At 56.2% G+C, this 22159-nt stretch overlaps 2 protein-coding genes, 1 long non-coding RNA gene and 1 other non-coding gene across 26 annotated transcripts, besides 17 other annotated features; 3 read left to right on the top strand and 1 right to left on the bottom strand.

Annotated features, from left to right (window-relative positions):
* Window positions 1–394: 394 nt before the first annotated feature.
* TRIP10 (thyroid hormone receptor interactor 10) lies at window positions 395–12245 on the bottom strand. 6 transcript variants are annotated; one of them, NR_110231.2, is made up of 15 exons: window positions 12140–12245; window positions 10800–10915; window positions 10644–10700; window positions 8811–8958; window positions 8669–8731; window positions 8327–8431; window positions 8089–8217; window positions 7225–7371; window positions 6931–7125; window positions 5729–5747; window positions 5364–5473; window positions 1859–1991; window positions 1494–1633; window positions 1292–1413; window positions 395–862 (listed from the first exon to the last, which is right to left on the bottom strand). NR_110231.2 is itself a non-coding variant. In NM_001288962.2 (15 exons), exons 1-15 carry the CDS (start codon window positions 12161–12163, stop codon window positions 714–716), a joined length of 1806 nt encoding a protein of 601 aa, NP_001275891.1. In that variant the 5' UTR covers window positions 12164–12245; the 3' UTR covers window positions 395–713. The 6 variants fall into 6 exon arrangements, 5 of the variants coding, with proteins under 5 accessions (NP_001275891.1, NP_004231.1, XP_006723003.1 ...); NM_001288962.2 differs by having other exon boundaries at window positions 5729–5896; XM_006722940.2 differs by having other exon boundaries at window positions 445–891; window positions 5729–5896.
* On the top strand, window positions 3338–3761 carry LOC124904623 (uncharacterized). Its single transcript, XR_007067109.1, has 2 exons — window positions 3338–3474; window positions 3569–3761. It is a non-coding gene; the product is annotated as an uncharacterized LOC124904623 (long non-coding RNA).
* Window positions 5682–6182: an enhancer, noted in NCBI's record as "H3K27ac hESC enhancer chr19:6745754-6746254 (GRCh37/hg19 assembly coordinates)". NCBI's record gives its function as "activates a minimal SCP1, AML or CMV promoter by ChIP-STARR-seq in naive H9 embryonic stem cells {active_cell/tissue: H9 hESC(naive)}" and the evidence as "EXISTENCE:reporter gene assay evidence [ECO:0000049][PMID:30033119]".
* Window positions 8234–9153: an enhancer, noted in NCBI's record as "H3K27ac-H3K4me1 hESC enhancer chr19:6742783-6743702 (GRCh37/hg19 assembly coordinates)". NCBI's record gives its function as "activates a minimal SCP1, AML or CMV promoter by ChIP-STARR-seq in naive H9 embryonic stem cells {active_cell/tissue: H9 hESC(naive)}" and the evidence as "EXISTENCE:reporter gene assay evidence [ECO:0000049][PMID:30033119]".
* Window positions 11384–12151: an enhancer, noted in NCBI's record as "H3K27ac hESC enhancer chr19:6739785-6740552 (GRCh37/hg19 assembly coordinates)". NCBI's record gives its function as "activates a minimal SCP1, AML or CMV promoter by ChIP-STARR-seq in primed H9 embryonic stem cells {active_cell/tissue: H9 hESC(primed)}" and the evidence as "EXISTENCE:reporter gene assay evidence [ECO:0000049][PMID:30033119]".
* Window positions 11991–12080: a silencer, noted in NCBI's record as "silent region_9965". NCBI's record gives its function as "represses an Ori minimal core promoter by ATAC-STARR-seq in GM12878 lymphoblastoid cells {active_cell/tissue: GM12878}" and the evidence as "EXISTENCE:reporter gene assay evidence [ECO:0000049][PMID:35858748]".
* Window positions 12121–12400: a silencer, noted in NCBI's record as "silent region_9964". NCBI's record gives its function as "represses an Ori minimal core promoter by ATAC-STARR-seq in GM12878 lymphoblastoid cells {active_cell/tissue: GM12878}" and the evidence as "EXISTENCE:reporter gene assay evidence [ECO:0000049][PMID:35858748]".
* Window positions 12601–12730: an enhancer, noted in NCBI's record as "active region_13863". NCBI's record gives its function as "activates an Ori minimal core promoter by ATAC-STARR-seq in GM12878 lymphoblastoid cells {active_cell/tissue: GM12878}" and the evidence as "EXISTENCE:reporter gene assay evidence [ECO:0000049][PMID:35858748]".
* Window positions 12751–12840: an enhancer, noted in NCBI's record as "active region_13862". NCBI's record gives its function as "activates an Ori minimal core promoter by ATAC-STARR-seq in GM12878 lymphoblastoid cells {active_cell/tissue: GM12878}" and the evidence as "EXISTENCE:reporter gene assay evidence [ECO:0000049][PMID:35858748]".
* Window positions 12920–13688: an enhancer, noted in NCBI's record as "H3K27ac-H3K4me1 hESC enhancer chr19:6738248-6739016 (GRCh37/hg19 assembly coordinates)". NCBI's record gives its function as "activates a minimal SCP1, AML or CMV promoter by ChIP-STARR-seq in primed H9 embryonic stem cells {active_cell/tissue: H9 hESC(primed)}" and the evidence as "EXISTENCE:reporter gene assay evidence [ECO:0000049][PMID:30033119]".
* Window positions 13821–13880: an enhancer, noted in NCBI's record as "active region_13861". NCBI's record gives its function as "activates an Ori minimal core promoter by ATAC-STARR-seq in GM12878 lymphoblastoid cells {active_cell/tissue: GM12878}" and the evidence as "EXISTENCE:reporter gene assay evidence [ECO:0000049][PMID:35858748]".
* GPR108 (G protein-coupled receptor 108) lies at window positions 14345–22011 on the top strand. 18 transcript variants are annotated; one of them, NM_001394720.1, is made up of 18 exons: window positions 14345–14468; window positions 15214–15333; window positions 15967–16017; window positions 16221–16303; window positions 17618–17742; window positions 17871–17920; window positions 18012–18080; window positions 18251–18355; window positions 18624–18757; window positions 18863–18938; window positions 19376–19449; window positions 19545–19662; window positions 19770–19900; window positions 19991–20034; window positions 20403–20452; window positions 20691–20726; window positions 20814–20938; window positions 21541–22011. In NM_001394720.1, exons 1-18 carry the CDS (start codon window positions 14349–14351, stop codon window positions 21611–21613), a joined length of 1584 nt encoding a protein of 527 aa, NP_001381649.1. In that variant the 5' UTR covers window positions 14345–14348; the 3' UTR covers window positions 21614–22011. The 18 variants fall into 18 exon arrangements, with proteins under 18 accessions (NP_001381649.1, NP_001381651.1, NP_001381647.1 ...); NM_001394722.1 differs by having other exon boundaries at window positions 20643–20726; window positions 20871–20938; NM_001394718.1 differs by having other exon boundaries at window positions 20643–20726; window positions 21683–22011.
* Window positions 14371–14430: a silencer, noted in NCBI's record as "silent region_9963". NCBI's record gives its function as "represses an Ori minimal core promoter by ATAC-STARR-seq in GM12878 lymphoblastoid cells {active_cell/tissue: GM12878}" and the evidence as "EXISTENCE:reporter gene assay evidence [ECO:0000049][PMID:35858748]".
* Window positions 14531–14700: a silencer, noted in NCBI's record as "silent region_9962". NCBI's record gives its function as "represses an Ori minimal core promoter by ATAC-STARR-seq in GM12878 lymphoblastoid cells {active_cell/tissue: GM12878}" and the evidence as "EXISTENCE:reporter gene assay evidence [ECO:0000049][PMID:35858748]".
* Window positions 14849–15010: a silencer, noted in NCBI's record as "fragment chr19:6736926-6737087 (GRCh37/hg19 assembly coordinates)". NCBI's record gives its function as "represses an EF-1alpha promoter that drives an FKBP-Casp9 reporter gene in an ReSE screen in phorbol 12-myristate 13-acetate-treated (for megakaryocytic differentiation) K562 erythroleukemia cells {active_cell/tissue: K562(+PMA)}" and the evidence as "EXISTENCE:reporter gene assay evidence [ECO:0000049][PMID:32094911]".
* Window positions 15147–15213, top strand: MIR6791 (microRNA 6791). Its single transcript, NR_106849.1, has one exon. It is a non-coding gene; the product is annotated as a microRNA 6791 (primary transcript).
* Window positions 15321–15470: an enhancer, noted in NCBI's record as "active region_13860". NCBI's record gives its function as "activates an Ori minimal core promoter by ATAC-STARR-seq in GM12878 lymphoblastoid cells {active_cell/tissue: GM12878}" and the evidence as "EXISTENCE:reporter gene assay evidence [ECO:0000049][PMID:35858748]".
* Window positions 15321–15530: a biological region, named in NCBI's record as "ReSE screen-validated silencer GRCh37_chr19:6736406-6736560".
* Window positions 15376–15530: a silencer, noted in NCBI's record as "fragment chr19:6736406-6736560 (GRCh37/hg19 assembly coordinates)". NCBI's record gives its function as "represses an EF-1alpha promoter that drives an FKBP-Casp9 reporter gene in an ReSE screen in K562 erythroleukemia cells {active_cell/tissue: K562}" and the evidence as "EXISTENCE:reporter gene assay evidence [ECO:0000049][PMID:32094911]".
* Window positions 15994–16762: an enhancer, noted in NCBI's record as "NANOG-H3K27ac hESC enhancer chr19:6735174-6735942 (GRCh37/hg19 assembly coordinates)". NCBI's record gives its function as "activates a minimal SCP1, AML or CMV promoter by ChIP-STARR-seq in naive H9 embryonic stem cells {active_cell/tissue: H9 hESC(naive)}" and the evidence as "EXISTENCE:reporter gene assay evidence [ECO:0000049][PMID:30033119]".
* Window positions 21224–21303: a silencer, noted in NCBI's record as "silent region_9961". NCBI's record gives its function as "represses an Ori minimal core promoter by ATAC-STARR-seq in GM12878 lymphoblastoid cells {active_cell/tissue: GM12878}" and the evidence as "EXISTENCE:reporter gene assay evidence [ECO:0000049][PMID:35858748]".
* Window positions 22012–22159: the final 148 nt, after the last annotated feature.

Here is a 22159-nt window from a genome sequence, read left to right as displayed (position 1 = left end):
CCAACATGGCAAAACCCTGTCTCTACAAAAAATACAAAAATTAGCTGGGCATGATGGTGTGTGCCTGTAATCCCAGCTACTTGGGAGGCTGAGGCAGAATTGCTTGAACTCGGGAGATGGAGTCTGCAGTGAGCTGAGATCACGTACGCCACTGCACTCCAGCCTGGGCAACTGGGTGAGACTGTCTCAAAAAGAAAAAAAAAAGAAACTTGGTATCCTTCTCCCTACCTGAGTCACAAGCAGACACCCACTGACAATGACATAGGCCAACTTCCAGAAAGGGGCAGGGTTGACCCAAGGTGTGCCCAAGATCACCTCCCCTTCCTCATTCCCTGTGTGGCCTGTAAGAAACGTGGTGTTAGATACTTCCAGTCCCAGTATTTAAATCCTCTAATAAGACACCGACTCTAGGAACTTTATATAATTTCTTTTTTTTTTTTCCCATTTTTGTATAAAACAAAATGGCCGGAGCCGAGCGGCAGAAAGAAAAGATGTAAAACATGAGTATGTACATCAATGGTGGAACGATGGTAGAAGGCACAGCGGGTCCGTCCGGTGTGACAGGTAGGACTGGGTTGGGGGTGGAGGGGGCAGCAGGTTACACAGGTCTCAGCCGAAGCCACGGGGTCAGAAATAAAGTGCATAGGTCCTGGGGCTCCCCGTGGCCCAGAAGCAGCAGCCGACAGCCCCCCTCTTCCCGTCTCTGGCAGGGTTCAATTGAGCGTGACTCGGAGGTAGGAGGTGGGCACGTAGCCCTCGCCTCCCTCTTTCCGCCTGACCCGGGTCCAGCCGTCCCCTTTGTCTTCTTCCATAAGACTGAGGTCTTCACCCTCGGCCATAGAGATAGTGCCCTCGCTGGACCCTGTGATGGGGGTGGGGGTGGGCCCAGATCTGCTTTAGGCAAAATTTATTATTTTTATTTTTTATTTTTGAGACAGAGCCTCGCTCTCGCCCAGGCTGGAGTGCAGTGGCACGGATCTTGGCTCCCTGCAACCTCTGCCTCCAGGTTCAAGGGATTCTCCTGCCTCAGCCTCCCGAGTAGCTGGGATCACAGGCGTGCGCCACCACACCTGGCTAATTTTTGTACTTTCAGTAGAGATGGGGTTTCACCGTGTTCGCCAGGCTGGTATGGAATTCTTGACCTCAAGTGATCTGCCTGCCTCAGCTTCCCAAAGTGCTGGGATTACAAGCCTGAGCCACCCGCCCAGCCCTGCTTTAGGCGAATTTAAACTGAACCTAGCCAGAGACACTGCCTCCCATACCCCGCCAAGCCCACTCTGGCCGTTCTCACCTTCAAAGTGGTAGATGGCCACACAGTGACCTATGGGGGATGTGGGTTCCTCCTCGAAATCCTCATCAAACTCCGTGTAAATGGGGGTGTCCTGGCTCTCTTCTGAGGGAGGCTCTTCAGAGCTGTTTGGGGATAATTCGGCAGATAAAGACAGGCCCTCCTGGGACCCTGGGAACAGACCCACTCTGACGTCACCCCTCACCTCTCCTTGGTGTCCTGTGATGCGCTGTTGCTGCTGCTGTCTGGCGGGGCGCTAGCGGGGGGGTCGGGAGGCCGGGCGTGCCGGCTCAGGCTGTCTCCCCGGTTGCTAAGGACTCGACTTTCAGCTTCTGCCAGCCACGCCTGGGAGGAGGGGACAGGAAAATCGTTCCAGGGCAGAGCTCCGGGGTCAGCCCACTTTGGACCCAGAGGTTCCCTGAGATCACCCACGCACAGCCAAGGCTGTGATGGAAAACAGCTGGAGACCCCCCGCTCCGAACACCTCCCCTGTCCCCGACCCCCCACCCCACCCAGCAGTGACTCAGCCAGGCCCGCTGGCTCCCGCCCCTCCCCAGGGTCTTTCCTGACCTCATACTTCTGCACTTCCAATTTCAGCCGTTCAATGTTGCTCAGGGTTTCAGCGATCTGGGGCTCCAAGCTGGCGGGGTCCCCCATCTGAGGTGTCTTCTCATAGACATCCTTCATTTTCTTTAGGGCTTCCCTATGACAAGGGAGACAGGATAGACAGGAAAACATACTTCCGTGTGAGTTTTTTTGTTGCTGTTGTTTTGTTTTGTTTGAGTCAGGGTCTCATTCTGACTCTTTCCCCAGGCTGGTGTGCAGTGGTGCAATCATGGCTCACTGCAACCTTAACCTCCCGGGCTCAAGTGATACTCCTGCCTCAGCCTCCTGAGTAACTGGGACTATAGACCCGCATCACCACACTCGCCTGATTTTTCAAAAATTTTTAGTAGAGATGGGGTCTGGCTATGTTGCCCAGGCTGAGTTCAAGGGATCCTCCTGGCTCAGCCTCCCAAAGTGCTGGGATTACAGGCATGAGCCACAGCACCGGGCTCCATGTGATTTAACAAGCAAAAAACAGGGGTTTTGCATCAAGGAGCAAATAGCAAGGCAGGACAATGGTTAAGGATGCAAATACTAGTGCCCGACTGCCTGGGTTCGAATCTCAGTTTGAATATTTCCTAGCTGTGTGAGCTTGGCTTAAATCATTGAACCCCCACTGCTGTTTGCTTATTTTGGAAATGGAGATAATGATCCTAATATCTCATGTGGGTCACTGTGAGGATTAATACAATGCCTGATACCTAGTAAGTCCTCACTATTACTCATATACATATTGAGTACCTACTGCATACAGGTCCTATTCCAAGCATCAGAAATATAACACTGGGCTGGCCGTGGTGGCTCACATCTGTAATCCCAGCATTATTTTGGGAGGCTGAGGTGGAAGGATCACTTGAGGCCAGGAGTTCAAGACCAGCCTGGGCAATGGTGTGAGACTTTGTCTCTAGTAAAAAATCAAAATAATTTTTAAAAAATAAAAAAAGAAGGGGGGGCAGGGGAAAAAATAAATAAAGATAAATATAACACTAAACAAGACAGATCTTAAGTCTGCATACAATCTCTCAGGAAACCTTGAAAATTCGAATAAATCCATGTACACTGTTTCGAATAGTGCCTAGAATGCAGTAAGTGACTAATAAATACTGTTATCATTATCATCAGTTTCTCATCCCTGTCTCCCCTATGTCTATATATACAGGTAGTCACGACTATAATGGACCTTTGGAAAAGACCAGATCTGAGCTCAACTTCCTTCCAGTTATTTTTTATCTTTTTTTGAGACACAGTCTCACTCTGTCGCCCAGGCTGGAATGCAGTGGCGCAATCTCGGCTCACAGCAACCTGTGCCTCCCGGGATCAAGTGATTCTCGTGCCTCAGCCTCTGGAGTAGCTGGGACTACAGGCACACGCCACCACGCCTGGCTAATTTTTATATTTTTAGTAGAGACAGGATTTCCATATGTTGGCCAAGCTGGTCTCAAACTCGGTCTCAAGCCATCTGCCTGCCTCGGCCTCCCAAAGTGCTTGGATTACAGGCATAAACCACTGCACCCTGCCAACTTCATTCCAGTTCTAATACCTGATCCACTTTACAGATGAAGAAACTGAGGAATTAAAAGGTAAAACAGGCTGCCCAAGTCCTGAGATGAAGCTGGAAATCAAGTCCAGTTTGTCGTGACTCTAGAACATGCACCCTTAACCCCTCCACCGTAGAAACTCAGGAACTAGAGAGTTCTGAATGGAACTTTACACCAATAAAAGCCATTCTGTCCAAGAGGTTACATGCAAATGGCAAAATATAATTTGGCTGCCTGTTTGCAAGTGGCAAACATCATTCCTATTATGTAACAGAACTGGGAAGAGGATTTTGTTGCCTGGAAAGAGTGAGTAAAGATTTTTTTTTTAATCTGCCAGATTTTTTTATTGTCAATATTTTAAGTGTTTGAGCTATTAAATAGATAACCATATGCTGCTTTTCTTTTAGCCAATTAATGTGGTGAACTAGATGGATACATTTTTTGATATTGAACTATCTTTGCATTATTGGGATAAAACCCAACCAATGGTGGATTTTTTTTTTTTTAGTTTTTAAAAAAATTTACTTGGGTTTTTCTTCTTCTTCTTCTAAGAGATGGGGTTTTACTACGTTGCCCAGGCTGGCCTTGAACTCCTAGGCTCAAGTGAGTGATCCTTCTACCCAGCCTCCCAAAGTGCTGGGCTTATAGGCATGAGCCACTGTGCTCGGCTAATGTATTATTATTATTATTATTATTATTTGAGGTAGAGACTCGCTGTGTTACCCAGGCTGGAGTGCAGTGGTGCAGTCTTGACTCACTGCAACCTCCGCCTCCCAGGTTCAAGCGATTCTCCCACCTCAGCCTCCCGAGTAGCTGGAATTACAGGCGCGTGCCACAATGCCCAGCTAGTTTTTGTATTTTTAGTAGAGACGGGGTTTCACCATGTTGGTCAGGCTGGTCTCGAACTCCTGACCTCACGTGATCTGCCCTCCTTGGCCTCCCAAAGTGATGTATTATTTTTTAAACACTGGATTTGCTTGGCTAGGATTTTGCCTCTATGATCATAAATAAGGTAAAATGAGCCCTTAATTTTATCTTATTGAATTCTTGGCCACAGATTTGGGAATCAGGATTCTTCAGCCTAAAGAGGTTGACAGCTTTCACACTTTTTCTGTTTGCTGGAATGACTTGTATAAGACAAGAAGTAACTGTTTCTTTTTTTCTTTTTGAGACAGGGTCTCACTCTGACACCCAGGCTGAAGTGCAAGTGGTGCAGTCACAGCTCACTGTAGTCTCCATTTCCCAGGCTTAAGCCATCCTCCCACCTCAGCCTCCCAAGTGGCTGGGACTACAGACACAAACCACCACACCCAGCTAATTTTTTTATTTTTGCTAGAAATGGGGTCTCACTCTGTTGCCCAGGCAGGTCTCAAACTCCTAGGCTCAGATGATCCTCCTGCCTCAACCTCCCAAAATGCTGGGATTGCAGGCACAGGCCACTGCACCTGGCCAAGAAGTAACTAAGTGTGGTAGGAATCACCTGTAAAACCGTCGGGGCCTTGGGATTATTGGGGAGATCTTTGAGTACCATTTAAATGTCATTCATTTACAGACCCGGGCAGTGGCTCATGCCTATAATCCCAGCACTATGGGAGGCTGAGGCAGGCAGATCAACTGAGGCCAGGAGTTCAAGACAGCCTGGCTAATATGGGGAAACCCCGCCTCTACTAAAAATATAAAAATTAGCTGGTGCATGCCTGTGGTCCTAGCTAATCGGCAGGCTGAGGCACAAGAATTGCTTGAACCTGGGATGTGGCGATTGCAGTGAGCTAAGATCACAGCACTGCACTCCAGCCTGGACGACAGACTAAGACCCTGTCACAAAATAAAATATAATAAAATAAATAAAATAAAATAATAAACAAATAAGTGAAGTTCATTTACTATTTTATCATGTTCCTTGCCTGTCCTTCCCTACCCCACCACCTTACCTCTGGTCAACCTCCTTCTGAAGTTCACGACTGCGTTCTTCCAACTGCTGTTGAAGCCGTTTTCGCTGCTGCTCTGGGGGCAAGTGGCTAAAATCCTCGGTCACCACTGTCTGCAAGGTGGGTAGAGGGCTGAATTTGGGATCAAGGAGTCTAGCCTGCCAGACTCTGCACCCGTCTGAGATATTTCACTCCCTTCCCCAGCCATGGTTCTTGACAGCGAAGCCATGCACAGAGCAAAGCAGGTCTGGGTTGGGCAACCAGGGAAGAGGGGCCCAGCCAGCGGCAGGAAGCGAGCCCAGGGTCCCGCCACCCGCCGCTGGGCAGGCTAGGGCCACCACCTCCTCCTGCCCCGAGGCCTCACTTACCCCACGGCTGCCTCGAAGGCTGCGGAAGGATGCTAGCCTCGGTTTGACCGACTTACTGATCTCGCTCAGTATGGCCAAGGGGTCACGGCCGGAGCGGGGGGACGGGGGTCCGTTAGGCAATGCCGAGGGTACGGGGCCCCCCAGGGGGGAGAGGGGTGGGGGGCGAGGCTACCGGCGGGGGCCGGGGAGGGGGATAGGTTGAAGGGGTGGGGGGGCATAGGAGGATGTAGAGAGTGAGGACGAATGGACGGAGGGATGGACGCACGGATGGACGGATGGACGCAAAAAAAGGAAAAAGGAAAAACAAAATGGAGAAAGAAAAAAAACGGTAAGAAAACCACAACTCAAGATGCACAACCACACAGAGAAAACGCATGCAGGAGCGACACAAAAAAATCTGGAAGGTGGCGGGGAGGATGTTGAACTGTAAGCCCGAAAGCCAGAACTCTCACTCCCCCGGTATCTCCTAGGTCTCTGGAATGTTATGTCCGGGAGCAAGCATGGGTCCAGGAGGCAGGGAGGCCCATGTCTCTCTGTCCACTTAGCTTTCTGGGCTGACAGTCTAGAAGACGCATGCAGGAATCAAGGTCTCAGACAGGTAAGAGGCCACAGAGGACAAAAATAAATAAACAAAAATAAAACCACAAGCCGAGAGGGAGTGGAAGGCAGGAAAATGAGAGGGGTTAGGGGCATCAGAAGTTTAAGCTCGGGGATCACAGGTGTTAAGTCAAGGAGAGGTATGAGAGTGTAAGTGAAGAGGGACCCAAAGTATAAATCAAAGGTATAAACCAAGGGTGCTAAGGTATATTAAAATCCAAAAACCCAAGAAAGCAAGACATGCAGGGCGGCTCCCAGAGTCCCATCAGCAGGATGGAGAGAGAAACTCGGGGAGTCCCCAGGGATGGTGTCACCAGCCCTCAGGCCAGCCCTGAATTCCACCAGCAGGTTTTCTCCCAGCATCCCGAGAAGCAGCAGACAAACGCCACGGACCTCCCCACCTCCCCACCCTGCCCCCGCCTTCGCCTCGGGGGACTCCCAGGCCAATCGGCCGCCTTCCTTCCCTCCAGTCCGGGCTGGCAGCCAAGAGGAAAATTCCTGCCCGAGACTCGGCGTTCAGGCGGCTGGGGCTGACTCAATAGGGGCCCCACTGTCCCCACTTCACTGTCCTTCTCCCCCACCATCCCAAGGGTCCCGGCCCCCACCTTGTTCTTCTTGCCAAAAGGCCAGCGCTTGGTGCGGCTGCGACCCGGGCCTCGGAGTTCAGGCCGTCCATCCGAGGGGGTGCCCAGACTGCTGTCGGAGGGTGCACGGTTCATGGGCTGGCTGAAGTCCTCGAATTCCACGTCGCCCGGGCGGGCAAAACCTGACTTGTGCAGCTCTATAAGGACGTGGGAGTCCTGGGGGAGGGGGACAGTGGATGAGCAGTCGAGTGCCTAGCCTATGGGTACCTCCCTCTGCCCTTCCCGTAGCCCAGTGGACCCAGACCAGGCACCCACGTTCTTGGGATCCACAGCATTTGCAGCCACCTTCATGCCCTCCAAGCACTTGGCTATTATGGGCACCACCTCCAGCTCGGCCTCCGACAGGAGCCCATACCCGGCACCCAGGCGGGTGGCCCTGCGTTCATCCATGTCTTGGAGCTTCTGTAAGGACAGGGACAAGGGTGGCTCAGGGGTGCTAACAGAGGGACTAGAAGCACAGTGATTCACTCTGCAAATATGATCGCGCTCCACGCTGGCCCCAGCCCCAAGCCAGTCTGGAGGGGAAGACAGAGTCGGGAAGAGAGACTCCAGCCCACTGTGGTTGGGGAAGAGACACAGGGCCAGGGGGATCTCAGAGGGGGACGCGTGCCTAGGGGGTCAGCAAAGGCTTCTCAAAGGAGGAGACAAGGGAACAGGGATTTGAAGAAAAAGCAGAACCAGCCCTGATACTCCCAGGGCCACGGATGGGACAGAGAGTGGAGCGCTAGATTGAAACAGGAGAGGGGAAATTCGAGACCTTTCAGAGGGGTTGTTAGAGGTGGAGCTTAGAAGAATAAGTAGGAATTTCAAAAAGAAAGAAAGGTCACTTGAGCACAGGGGTTCCAGGCTGCAGTGAGCTGTGATTATGCCACTGCACTCCTGCCCGGGTGACAGAGCCAGGCCCCATCTCTCTATAGAAGTAAATAAACAAACAAGTAAAAGGCATGCCCAGCAGGAAGAACAGCTGACTAAAAGCACAGCTCACTGTTACTATAGGTTTCTGATTCCCTTTCAATCTAGGGACTGGGACATTGCAGCTGGGGTTTTGATGAATGCGTAGGAGTTGGCTAACATTTGGAGGCTTTCGGGAAGGTAGGTCTGAGAACTGGGAGCACTCACATCGAATATCTGGGGCATCTGTGAAAAATAGAAGTGGGCTTGGTCTCGGTTGAAGCGCTGCAGTTGAGCCGCATATTCGTTTTTGCTTTCTTCGGCCATGTGACTCCGAAGGTGGGCTTGCTGCTTGGCCTGAAGAATGCAGAGGTGGAAGGTACTGCCAGGTTCCGATCACGTCCCACTCGGACTCCCCAAGCTTGTCCCAGACCCCGCACCCCCCCCCCGCCCCCGCCACACACACCTTCTCCACATCAGCCTTGGTGGCGTTGATATCCTGGTCTAGCCGTTCAGCAGTCTGGGCTGCCTTCTCTGCCTCCCGGCAGTCCCGCTCAAATTTACGCTTACTCTGTGTAGGGGACAGAACCGGAGTGAGGGAGCCACCATCCCAAAGACAGCAGGGTGGGAAACCAAGGTTTCAGGGATTATTGGGATGTCATCCAGTAAGTAGGGGTCAAGGGAGTACTGGAAGCCTATGGGGGAGGGAAGGTCCAGGTCTGACAAAGAGGGCAGCTCCCTGACTCCGGATCCGCAACCCTGCCCCCATGCCTCCGGGCCACAGTCACTGCTACCTCTGCAAACTCACATTCTCCAGCTGTTTAAAGCCATTTTCCAGCTGCTGCTGGGCCCGCCGCCCTTCTTGGAAGTGCTACAGAAAGAAGAGTGATAAGGCTCGCCAGGGTTCCAGCAGAAGCCCTTTGTAAAACCTGAATCGGGGGGCTCCTCACCATCTTCCTCTCCTGTTTCATCTCTTGTGAGTACTTGGTCAGCTCAAGACATACACGGACACTGAGGTTCTCAGCCACCAGCTCCCGCTGGCCTGCAAAGTCATTCACCTCCTGGAGAATCTGTACGAAGGACTGTTGCTGGCTGAATCTGGGGTTGGATGAGAATCGGGGAACAGGGAGTCAGGCCCCTCCTCCCGAGCAGGCTGATGCCCCAGGACGCACCTCCAGGTGGAAAAGGGTTAAGCCCCAAGAATGTAATCCCTGAAGCGATGACAAATTCTGGTCCATATTCCTTAACCCCAACCCTTGAGTAGATTTTTTTTTTTTTTTTTTTTGAGACAGGGTCTTGCTGTCACCCAGGCTGCAGTGCAGCGGCATGATTGCGTCTCACTGCAGCCTCAAACTCCTGGGCTCAAGTGATCCTCCCACCTCAGGCTCCCAAATAGCTGGGACCACAGGCACACGCCACCACACCTGGCTAATTTTTTTTTTCCAGATGAGGTCTCAAACTCCAATCCCCCCGAACTCCGCATCTTCCCGCCTCACCCTCCCAAAGTGCTGGGAGTACAGGTGTGAGCCACCGCACTGGACCTCGAATGTATATTGGAACACAGAATTTTCCAGTTTTTAAAGATGGTGTACAAAGCTTATACCATCTTTTCTGCATCATCTTAGTGGGGTTGGGGACATCATTTTGTAATCAAACACCGTATCTATTTGTTTTGGAGACAGAGTCTCACTCTGTCGCCCAGGCTGGAGTGCAGTGGTGCGATCTTGGCTCACTGCAACCTCCGCCTCCCGGGTTCAAGCGATTCTCATGCCTCAGCCTCCTGAGTAGCTGGGATTACAGGCGCGCACCACAACGCCTGGCTAATTTTTGTATTTTTAGAAGAGACAAGGTTTCACCATGTTGACCAGGCTGCTCTCGAACTCCTGACCTCAAGTGATCCACCTGCGCACCCTCCCAATGTGTGGGATTACAGGTGTGAGCCACTGTGCCCAACCCTATTTTTTTTTTTAATTTTACAATGAGAGGTGTTAACATTCACACTAAGTGGGATAAAAGTCAAAACTACAATTACCAGCCTGGCTAACATGGTGAAACCCTGTCTCTACTAAAAATATAAAAATTAGCTGGGCATGGTGGCAGGTGACTGTAATCCCAGCTACTAGGGAGGCTGAGGCAGGAGAATCGCTTGAACCTGGGAGGCGGAAGTTGCAGTGAGCTGAGATGGCGCCACTGCACTCCAGCCTGGGGGACAGAGTGAAACTCTGTCAAAAACAAAACAAAACAACTACAATTAACAAAAAGTTCAGGTCAGAGATTGCTGCCAAACAAGTGACCAAAACAACTTGATTTCCAGGGCTTTTTTGGATTTTGGAATTGGGGACTCAATTCCAAGTCAAATGCTCCTTACGGCGTTTGATATGGACTGCACACTGTTTAAACACATTCACTCAGCTCGTGTTCATGAAAGCCCTACAAAGCTGGAGGAATCGTCATCATTCCATTTCACAGATGAGGAAAACAGAGGCGCAAAACTTTAAGTCATCTGCCCAAAGTTACTGGTTTTGTAACTGCTGGGGCCTCTGTATTTAACAGTTAAGGAAAATAGTGGCAGAAAACCTGAGTCACAAGCCCAAGTCAATTTCTCTACATAGTAGTGGACTCAGGATTCCAAGCCAGATAATCCCGCATCTTGCATCCATGCTCTCACCTCTAGAAGGGGAAGTGAGAGGAGCGGTGGGGTGTCCCAGCTGAGGGAGGGGAAGTGAGACCCAAGCACCGCCTTTCCCCACAAATCTAGCCCTGCAGCCCCTCTCCAACCTTACTTGGACTCAGGATCATCCTTGGCAGGTCTCTTGGGCAGATATTTTTTCACCAGGCTCCTAAGGGGAGACAGAGGTAGGAGGGCTGAGCCCGCAGCCCTCCCACCGCTCCCCGTCGCCCCAGGCGCGTCCTCCGTAGCGTCCACCCCAGGGTCTCACCGCAGTTGTTTGGCGTAAGCCTGTTCCACTTCGGTGCGTTCTTTCACGAACTTTACATATCTGTCCAACAGGTCCAGCCCCCACTGCGTGTGGCGCTCGAGCACCTCGAACTGATCCTGACATGGGACATGGTGGGGGAGGAGGGGAGAGGGGCCGGGGTCACGATTTTGGGACCCCACAGCCCGCCGACCAGACTCCCAGGGAGGGCCAAGGCTCTGCGCTCCTAGAAGGAGTGGCTTCCCGGCGCCGCCCCGGCGTGGCGCGGGGGGAGGCAGGAAACTGGCGGGAACCCCCTCCCCTTCCCGGGAAGGGCCGGAGAACAGCGCCCAGGCCCCAGCCACCCCGGCCGGGAGATGGAGGTCTCCGACATAGGACCGCCAAGAGGGGCGTGGAAGGGGACAGGGCCACTCCCCCAGCTCGGGCTCCCCTAATCCCCCCGGATTCCGGAAAATCCGGCCGGCCCGGCGTGAGTCAAGGCCAGAGGGGCAGGGTTCCTGGCAGACTGGGGGCCCCTGAGTGGCCAGGGGGCAGGCACCAGGTTCCCTGAATCTCCCTGCTTCCAGGGATCCCCCGATGGGTGACTCAATTTACCCCACTGACCCCACTACACATCCAAAAGAAATCGCAGAATTGGAGGAGGGGGTGGCAGTCTGGTTACCCCCGCTGCACTAAGAACTCAGGGATTCCACCGCCCCCAGCAAGGGGAGGGGTCAGAGGTCCGGCTAGGATAGGGGGAAATTTCTGGGGCTTCCAGGGCTGAGGTTATAGGCGACCAGGGGGCGGTCCCGCCCTGGGCCTGGGGTGAGCAGGGGGAAGCCAGGGAGGGGGATCAGGCCGAGCTTAGCATCCCCCTTCCCCTCCATGAGCGTCCCCAGCCCCTAGGTGTTGATTAAAGGCGAGGGAAAGGGCGGTCAGGACTTCTAGGTCCCACGTGGGTGGGGATGAGGGTGACCAGAGGGTCCCCTCCCCCCTCCTAGCCGGACAGGCGGACGACGGGCAGGGACCCAGGGGCCGTAAGATAAGCCGCCTGCCCGGCCAGGGCGCCCAAAATAGGTGACCTCTCTCAGCCGCCCCGGCCTGGCCCCAGGATTCCTTCTGCCCGCCTCATTCGCAACCCTGTGCCTCAGTTTCCCCACTCCGGTCCGGCAAAGTCGCCCTTCGCCCCTGAGCGTGCTGAGACTCCCAGATAAACTTCGAGAGAGAGCGGAGGGTGGAGGGCGGGGACCCAGGGGTCGGTGGAAGGGAAAGGCGCGGAGCCCCCTCTAAGATACATTGGGGACAAAAGGGGGGTGCCTGGACCCCAGCAAAGGGGAACTTAGAGGCGGGCCGATTGGACTTACCCACAGCTCAGTGCCCCAATCCATGCTGCTCCCGCCGCCGCCGCCGCAGCCACCACCGCACCCGGTCCCCGCCGCCCGCCGCCCGCCGCCCTCCCCGGGGAGACTCAGCCGAGGGCGGTGCGCCTGGCCCCGCCCCGCCCCGCCCGGCCCCGCCCACCCCAGACTCTTCCCCGCCCCCCTGCACGCTCTGCCACGCCCCCACCCGCGCGGAGCCCAAGCACTGCGATTCGGGGGCGGGGCCCAACGGACGCTCCGCCCCCTTTTAAAGCAACGTTGCCACTCGACGCCGCTGGACCGACCCCTTAAAGAACCCCCACCCATTTTTTCCAAATCCCCGGGGTCCCTCTCGTCCTCTCATCTTCCTTCCCCGCTCCAAACGGTTCTTCCCATCTCCTTTTCCCCTTTCCCCGCAATTATTCCTTAAAGGGCCAAGACACTAAAACCCCAAACTCAAGAAGTCCTTCCTCAACCCCATTGCAGGGGCAACCTGAGGTCACCCCGTTCTTGCGAGCCGGCCCGGCTCCAGGCGTCTAGGTTCGTCCCACTAATGGTCTGGTCCCTCCGGCCACAGGGCGGATGAGAGGGTTTCGATCCAACCCAGGACGCGCCTTCGCCAAGGCCAGGTCCATTAACTCCCGCACCGCATCCTGCCTTCCCTCCCCCAGAGTCTCCGCTGGGAAACTGAAGACAGGCCGTCCTTGGGGCGCCAGGCCCAGGCCTTTCCCCAGCTGCCTTCCAGTTCGCGCCTGCATCTGCCCATTTTCCAGTTTAACCTGGTTTCATTCTCAGTACTGCCCCTGAGATTCCGACTCCGCCCCTCCCCCAGACATCTGGGCCATCTGGGCCCTGGAGAAGGGAAGTCTGTCACCTCTCCCATAAAAGTCTGTTCACACCTTGTAAATCCCTTTGAGGTGCTGGAATGAAAGAGGAGAGGAGGCACTGGGGATTCCCACTCCCATTCTCTCCGGGCTTTGGCGCTTTCTCTGCAGCCTCAGACAAGGCTGGGCGTCTTGCAGGGGGGCCCTTGGGTATACGTTCCCCTTACACAGAGCACCCAGGCTCCCAGAACAGAGAGATACAGCTGAGCCCAGGAGGAGAGCCTTGGGAGCCCACACTGGGACTGATGTCTCTGCTGAGACCTGGCCCCACCTGCTGGTGGCTTCTGAGCTAGAAAATGTCTGATTGCAGTTGGGCAATTGAACCCAGTGAGTTCTGTGGCTAGTCTCAAATGGGGGCTCAGCCTAGCAAAGTTCTGAGTTCACCTCTGCTCAGAGACTCAAACTGGAATTGGGGTTCAGTCCAGGTCAGCACCACCGTGGGGATAGGGGATAGAGGCCAGAGGCTTAACCAGAAGGATTAGCAACCCGGTAAGGGGTCAGGTCCAATCTGGAGTCAGGGCTAGTCCAGATCGGTGGCCTAAACCAGAGATTAAGCCTCAGTGTGTGGTGTGGGGGACGAGGGGGTGTCAGAGTTTCAGGCTGAAGTTAGGACTCAACTTGCAGAGAGGGAGTTCACCTGGGGTCAGAGTTCAGCCCGGAGTCCGGTCTAGCCTGGAATCTGGGGGTGGGGCTCCAATTGCCTCACTCTGGAATAAAAGGCTTAGCCTAAGGCTGGGGTCTCAGCCTGGGGTCATAGGTCATCCTAGGGTCAAACTTTAACCTGAGGCCAGCTTTAGGCCTCTCTGTGGACCAGGAAGATTAGGAAAACAGGTCAGGCCTGAACAGATGCGTGTGTTTACCAAAAGCCTCAGCTCTGGCTGGGAGCCACATCCCTGGCTCAAGAAGAGGAAGTCCGTCCTTGGGGATACTGGGAAAGGTAGTTTATTTAATGCTTTGTGGCCCTTGTCTGCTCCCGCTGCATTCTGGGTAATGTAGTCCCGGACAGTTAAGAGTGGGTGGAGAAATTCCGCTTTAAGGGCCGGATATCAGATCCATGACAATTGGTTAGATAAACTGCTCATTAAATCACATCCGGACAATCTTTATAGCGATTGGTGAGAGTGAGCTGGGGGTTAAGCGTTATCGGCTCTCCCATTCGGAACCGGTGCTGTCCGTCGGTGACGCAAGCAGGCGGGCTTGCGGAGAGGCAATTGCTGATTGGTTGGCGGACTGGAAACTCCGAAAGGCCGGGCCCCGCCGTGCGGCGATTGGCTCATCGGTGGGCGGGCTTGGGCGCCAGAGGCGGAGTCGGGGAGGAGGTGGCTCCAGAGATGGCAGTGAGCGAGAGGAGGGGGCTCGGCCGCGGGAGCCCCGCGGAGTGGGGGCAGCGGCTACTTCTGGTGCTGCTGCTGGGTGGCTGCTCCGGGCGCATCCACCAGCTGGCGCTGACGGTGAGGCCCGCCGCGCGAGGGTCTGGGGTCGGTGGCGCAACTTTGTCTCGGAGAAGCCCCCTGGCTTGGAGTGGTCTCGTCCGCCCTCCCCCGTCCCCGAGGCGGTGGAGTGGTCCGGCGCCCCCCGTTTCCGGGCCCGGAGTGGTCTCGTCCCGGGATCCCCTTCGGTCCTCCGGATGGAGTTGCCGGGTCCGCCTCGCTGGGGTCGGCCCCCTCCCTTCGGGGGCGAGGCTCCATCTCTTGGGGACTACACCCCCCTTCCCCCCAACTGGGTCTTAGTCCTTTAAATTCTTGGAATCACTTTTGGGGCGCTAGAGACCCTGGAGCCGCACAGCGGGGTCCTGGGGGGCTATAGAGTGGGGTCCTCTGGGCACTTAATGGGATTTGGGGGGTTCTGTTGAAATATTGCTGGGAGCTCAACTGGAATGTAAAAGTTCTTCGGGAAGGTGAAGGTCAGGCACGCCGAGGTGAATAACTGTTCTCCGGGCGGTGCTCACCCCAGTGGGGAGACTTCCAGGTGCCGCAGGATCTCTGTTCCTGGGTTCTCAGAACAGAGGTCGGAGAATGCAGGACCACCCTTCCCCTGCAGGGAGGAAGTCCCTCTCAACTTTCTCTTGTCATCCTCTGGGCCTGTCCTAAATAGAGGGGTACCAGGAGGCCCTTCTGGAGGTCCTCGTGCCAGACCCCTGGGGCTGGGCAGGCGGAAAGAGGTCTGAACTGCCTCTGCCTCCTTGGTCTCCGGCAGGGGGAGAAGCGAGCGGACATCCAGCTGAACAGCTTCGGTTTCTACACCAATGGCTCTCTGGAGGTGGAGTTGAGCGTCCTGCGGCTGGGCCTCCGGGAGGCAGAAGAGAAGTCCCTGCTGGTGAGGGACCTTGAGGAGTTTGCTGGAGGAGAGCACGGTGCAATCCCCCGGTTCTGGGTTCCCAGCTCTGCCGCTACCCATGTGATCTTGTACAAGTCCCGTCATCTCTCTGAGCCTGTTTCGTCATCTGTACCTGGGAGTAATGATGTCTTACACAGGATGTGCTAGGCACTTTTCTTAAGACTTGGGGGACAGGCGGGGCGCGGTGGCTCAGGCTTTGTAGTCCTAGCACTTTGGGAGGCCAAGGTGGGAGGATTGCCTGAGGCCAGGAGTTCAAGACCAGCCTGGGCAACATAGTGAGAACCCCGTCTCTACAAAAAGTTTTTAAAATTAGCCGGGCGTGGTGAGGTGTGCCTGTAGTCCCAGCCAGTCGGGAGGCCGAGGTGAGAGGATCGTTTGAACCTGGGAGTTCGAGGCTGTAGTGAGCTATGATCCTGCCACTGTATTCCAGCTTGAGAAACAGAATGAGGTCCACCCACCACCCCAACTCTAAAAAAGAAAAAGAGCGTGTGGGATCTAGCACATGTTAGGTGTTCAGTAAATGTGAGGTTAGGTTTCTATTGCTACTGAAAGGGATAGCTGGGAGGTCTCTACTGTCCCTCACACCCTCCCCTTTTTTTTTCCACCCACCAGGTGGGGTTCAGTCTCAGCCGGGTTCGGTCTGGCAGAGTTCGCTCCTATTCAGTGAGTGGAGGGCATGGGGAAGACGGGAGAAGGGGCTGGAGGGAGGGGGTAGGGTCTGTCCTCTGCATCTGTAACCCAAGGGCCCCTGTTCTTTGTCAGAGGCAGGAGCAGGAAGATCCCGTGGGTGGACAGGGAGGGAGACAGGGTGGAGCTGGACCAGGAGAGGAGTAACCAAGACTCACTCCCTCCTGCCCACCCCCCAGACCCGGGATTTCCAGGACTGCCCTCTCCAGAAAAACAGTAGCAGTTTCCTGGTCCTGTTCCTCATCAACACCAAGGATCTGCAGTGAGTTGGGGACCGGGGGCTCGCTCAGATCCTTCGTCTGCGTTTCCCTGGTGTGATGCCCACACGCACCTGGGCTGATCAGGTGGGATGAGAAGCAGAGAGAGAAAGCCACTTACTTTTTAGTTTTGCCTTCAAGTCTTCTGATTGTTGGAAGGAAGGAGAGAGGGACTCCGCGGGTGTTGGTGTCTCAGGGCAGAAGACCCGGATACAGAGGGTTGTTGTGAGAATGAATAACAATTGTTCGCACATGTTGAGTGCTTCCGGTGTCCCGGAGCTTTAATACACTAACTCACCCATTCCTTATCCTGTGATCATCTCCGCTCTTCAGACAAGAAAACTGAGTCCCAGGAACTGGGATTCTGGGGCCAGGGTCTGACAAAACCATGTTGCTTTTCTGTAGATAAAATGTTTTCTTTTTAAATAATATACTTAGGGCCAGGCAGTGGCTTACGCCTGTAATCCCAGTATTTGGGAGGCCGAGGCAAAAGGATTGCTTGGGCCCAGGAATTGTAGACCAGCCTGGGCAACATGGCAAAACCTTGTCTTTACTAAAAAACCAAAAAATGTACAGGAATTAGCCAGGCATGGTGGTGCACGCCTGTAGTCCCAGCTACTCTGGAAGCTGAGGTGAGAGGATCTCCTGAGCTGGGGAGGTGGAGGTTGCAGTGAACCAAGTTTGCACTGCTGCACTCCAGCCTGGACGACAGATCAAGAGCCTGTCTCAAAATAATAATAATAATAATAATAATAATAATAATAATAATAATAATAATGTAGGGCTGGCCATGGTGGCTCATGCCATTAATTCCAGTGCTTTGGGAGACTGGCTGAGCCAGGAGGATCACTTGAAGCCAGGAGTTCAAGACCAGCCTGGGCAACGTAGGGAGACCCCTGTCTCTAGAAAATTTAAAAATTAGCCAAGCATGATGGTGTGCGCCTGTGGTTCCATCTGCTCCTGTGGCTGAGGTGGGAGGATTGCCTGATCCCAGGAATTTGAGGCTGCAGTGAGCTGTGATTGCACTACAGCGCTCCAGCTTGGGCGACAGAGCAAGACCCTGTCTCTAAAGAAAAGAGAAAAAGAGTAGATTGATGTCATGGGAAATGACGAATAACTGCGGATGCAGGCAGCACAGGAAGGCGGCAGCCTCCTTGACCGGTGGGAACCAAAGGCTGAAACTCAGTGATAACTGACTCGACTGGACCCCGCCCCTCAGGGAGGACACGCAGAGGGTCCAAGGGGCCACTGAGTCCTTTGCCGGTGCCTGAGCCAAGTTCAGCCCCCCAGCCTCATGCCCCACCCCACCCTCACCCCAGGGTCCAGGTGCGGAAGTATGGAGAGCAGAAGACGTTGTTTATCTTTCCCGGGCTCCTCCCGGAAGCACCCTCCAAACCAGGGCTCCCGAAGCCACAGGCCACAGTCCCCCGCAAGGTGGATGGCGGTGAGTCAGGCTGGCTGTGCAGACGGGGGTGGATGGGCAGGTCTGCCCTTTGCACTCCCCATGCCGTTTTCCCACTGCCCCTCTATCCATCCATCCATCTCTTAAAATCACTGCCCGGTCTCTTACAGGAGGGACCTCTGCAGCCAGCAAGCCCAAGTCAACACCCGCAGTGATTCAGGTTTCGGGGAGGCGGGGCAGGAGGGAAGATGCACACCCCAGGGCCCTGCGGGGACCCAGAACCAGCTGATGGAGGGGCTCTGTCCCTTCAGGGTCCTAGTGGGAAGGACAAGGACCTGGTGTTGGGCCTGAGCCACCTCAACAACTCCTACAACTTCAGTGTGAGTGTTTGCAGCGCCTGCGGCCCTTCCGTCACCCCAGAGCACGGGACCCCCAAGCTGAGCCCTCCTGCAGCCCTACCATCGCCCCAGACCATGGGACCCCCAAGCTGATTGTCGCCCCAGACCACGGGTCCCCCAGGCTGAGCCCTCCTCTCTCCCCGCCCGCCCAGTTCCACGTGGTGATCGGCTCTCAGGCGGAAGAAGGCCAGTACAGCCTGAACTTCCACAACTGCAACAATTCAGTGCCAGGAAAGGAGCATCCATTCGACATCACGGTGAGCGGAGTGGAGGGCAGCAGGGCCAGGGAGCGCCCCCTGCAGGCCACTGCGGGCCCAGAGTGCCTCACCCCGCTTAGCTTTTCCCAGCCCTCCCGGGTGCGAAGTAGGAGCTGTTATACCCATTTGAGAGACGGGGCCAACTGAGGCTCAGAGTGGATGAGTGGCCCAGTAGAAAGTGAGAGAGCTGGAGACCCCCACTCGCTGCTCTCCCAGGCCAGCGGTCGGGCTGTGCCCCTGCCGCCGCCCACCACTGCCCCCTCCGCAGGTGATGATCCGGGAGAAGAACCCCGATGGCTTCCTGTCGGCAGCGGAGATGCCCCTTTTCAAGCTCTACATGGTCATGTCCGCCTGCTTCCTGGCCGCTGGCATCTTCTGGGTGTCCATCCTCTGCAGGAACACGTAATGCCCCTGCCCCTGAGGGTCCCCCACGTCCCTTCACCAGACCCCCATCCCTATGCTCTGCTGATGCCCCGCACCCCCATCTCTCCCTGACCCTCCCACCAGGTACAGCGTCTTCAAGATCCACTGGCTCATGGCGGCCTTGGCCTTCACCAAGAGCATCTCTCTCCTCTTCCACAGCGTGAGAGCCTTGGACCGGGGAGCAGCGGGGGGTGGGCTGAAAGGCCCACCCGGGCCATCCCCCAAATCTCTGCAGACCCTGGGCCTGTGGGAGGGCCATCCGCCAGCTATCCACGTGTCCACCCATTTTACCAGTGTGGCCAGTCACCCATCCCCTCTGTCCACCAGTCCTGCGGGGCAGCTCTGTCCACCACTGTCCCTTGGTTCAGCTGTGACTGTCCGTCTCTGATTGTCCAACTATTCACCCCTTCAGCTGTGACTGTTCCCTCCATTTTTTCAGCCCCGATTACCAGTTTTGAGTCCCACCCACCGTCCTCATTATTCAACTTTCTGACCACCCATCTGATGGTGACGGTCCGTGTTCCTAATCCCCCACCACCACCATCAGCCTCCCACCCCTCTGTGCGCCTCACTGTCCGTCTGTCCATCCACCCCCAGATCAACTACTACTTCATCAACAGCCAGGGCCACCCCATCGAAGGCCTTGCCGTCATGTACTACATCGCACACCTGTGAGTGTCCCCCACTCTGCTGGGCAGCTGGGGGGAGGCAGGCAGGGGAGGGTTGGCCCCCCACCTCATCATCACGCCCTCCCCTGCTCCTTCAGGCTGAAGGGCGCCCTCCTCTTCATCACCATCGCCCTGATTGGCTCAGGCTGGGCCTTCATCAAGTACGTCCTGTCGGATAAGGAGAAGAAGGTCTTTGGGATCGTGATCCCCATGCAGGTGCGGATGGAGCAGCCTCCGGAGCAGGGCGGGGAGGGCTGCACAGGGCAGTGGGGGCAAAGGGGAGCGTGCCAGGCAGTGCCCACCCACCCCCGCCGCCTGCGCAGGTCCTGGCCAACGTGGCCTACATCATCATCGAGTCCCGCGAGGAAGGCGCCAGCGACTACGTGCTGTGGAAGGAGATTTTGTTCCTGGTGGACCTCATCTGCTGTGGTGCCATCCTGTTCCCCGTAGTCTGGTGAGGACCCTGCCCCCGGGCTGAGGCTCTGCCCTGTGCACATGGGCGATGTCCGCGCTGACCGTACCCTGTGTCCTCCACTTGTCCCAGGTCCATCCGGCATCTCCAGGATGCGTCTGGCACAGACGGGAAGGGTGAGGCCCTGCGCCTGCAGGCCCTCTGCTCATGGCCCCATTCCTCCTCCGGGCCCTTCTTTCTGCCCCTTGGATGCCCCTCCTGGCCTCTCTGCCCAGCCCCCAGGCCTCTGCCTCCCTGGATGCCCCAGTCTGGCCTCTCTTTCCCCCGAATGCCTTTATCTGGCCTCTCTGCCCTGTTGGGTGGCCCTTCCCTCCTCTCTGATCTCCCCCTTCCGCCTTTCTGCCCCACCTAATGTCCCCTCGAGACTTGCTGCTCCTGGACACTCCCTCAGATGTTCTGTTTGTCACCTCTCCCAGCCCCCAGCCCCCTCCCCTCCCTCCCACCCTCAGTCTCCCCTGACCGCCCTCTCTGTGCCCACCCTCAGTGGCAGTGAACCTGGCCAAGCTGAAGCTGTTCCGGCATTACTATGTCATGGTAGGAGCCCGCCTCACTCACAGCGGGTTTGGGGGGATTACCGGCCTGCTGCACGCCCACCCCAGCCCCTCAGCTGCTGCCCCATCCCGAGGCCCCCATCCAGGCTCCCCAGCCCGCAGTCCTGCAGTCTAGCCCCATGCCTGCCCGTGCCCCTACAGTCCTGGCCCCACGCCTGCTCGCGCCCCTGCAGGTCATCTGCTACGTCTACTTCACCCGCATCATCGCCATCCTGCTGCAGGTGGCTGTGCCCTTTCAGTGGCAGTGGCTGTACCAGGTGAGCCCGAGGCCCAGGTGGGACGGGAGGGCGGCCACGGTGGGGGTGGGGGTGCGCCTGACGCCCCCACTCCGCCCCGTCCCCCAGCTCTTGGTGGAGGGCTCCACCCTGGCCTTCTTCGTGCTCACGGGCTACAAGTTCCAGCCCACAGGAAACAACCCGTACCTGCAGCTGCCCCAGGAGGACGAGGAGGATGTTCAGATGGAGCAAGTGTGAGCTGGGCACCATGGGCAGGGCCGGCGGCTCTGGGGGTGGAGTAGGGGGTGGGCAGCTCTACGGGCAGGGTGGGCAGGGGGGAGGGACTGTAGCAGCCCTGGGGGCAGTGTTAGGGCAGAGCCTGCTGTTGAGAAGGGATGGAGGGGAGATGGGGGGCAGCCAGGGCAGCTGTGCAGGTGGGGACCGGACAGCTGTGGAGTACCTAAGGCCAGGCTGAGCTAGGGGTGGGGTTAGGGCCGCTAGGGAGACACCCAGGGCCGCTCTGGGGGCGGGGGTGGGCGGGGCCTAGGTAGTTCGGGTAGAACGGGTGGGGCCTGGGCTGCTATGGCAGTAAGGTGGGCGGGGCCTGAGTGGTTACGGGTAGAGTGGGTGGGGCCAGGGCTGCTGGGGGCGGGGCCTAGGTGGTTGGAGTAGAAGGGTAGGGCCTGCGCTGCTGTGGGAGCGAGGTGGGTGCAGCCTGGGTGAGTCTGGGGTAGAGTGGGCAAGGCCAGGGCTGCTGTGGTTGGGGGGAGTGGGGCGGGGCCTGAGTGGTTCCGGGTAGAGTGGGTGGGGCCTGCTGCCCTGCAACGCTAGACGCCTCCTCGCTGTCTGCCCCCAGAATGACGGACTCTGGGTTCCGGGAAGGCCTCTCCAAAGTCAACAAAACAGCCAGCGGGCGGGAACTGTTATGATCACCTCCACATCTCAGACCAAAGGGTCGTCCTCCCCCAGCATTTCTCACTCCTGCCCTTCTTCCACAGCGTATGTGGGGAGGTGGAGGGGGTCCATGTGGACCAGGCGCCCAGCTCCCCGGGACCCCGGTTCCCGGACAAGCCCATTTGGAAGAAGAGTCCCTTCCTCCCCCCAAATATTGGGCAGCCCTGTCCTTACCCCGGGACCACCCCTCCCTTCCAGCTATGTGTACAATAATGACCAATCTGTTTGGCTACGCCGTTGTCTTGCCTTTTTGGGGGTTGGGGTCTACACGGAGGTTGTGTTTACAATGTAGAAACCTGTTTTCGCTGTGTGTGGCGGGGGCGCGGGCACAGGGTCCGTGTCTTTGTATATTCAATAAATATTCATTCAGTAACCGCTGCATGCAGGGCCCAAAGCCAGGCGCTGGGACGGAGCGGTCACAAAGACCCACCTGGTCCCAGCCCTAAAGGGGCTCCCAGTGCCCAGAGTGGGGGTCAGGCAGAGGGACATGTCACCTGGCAGTACCATCACTGGGCCATCAG

This window comes from Homo sapiens, chromosome 19 (assembly GCF_000001405.40).
Source record: "Homo sapiens chromosome 19, GRCh38.p14 Primary Assembly".
Taxonomy (NCBI): domain Eukaryota; kingdom Metazoa; phylum Chordata; class Mammalia; order Primates; family Hominidae; genus Homo; species Homo sapiens.
The sequence above is the reverse complement of the archived record's forward strand: the minus strand, read 5'-3'. Positions and strand labels throughout refer to the sequence as shown.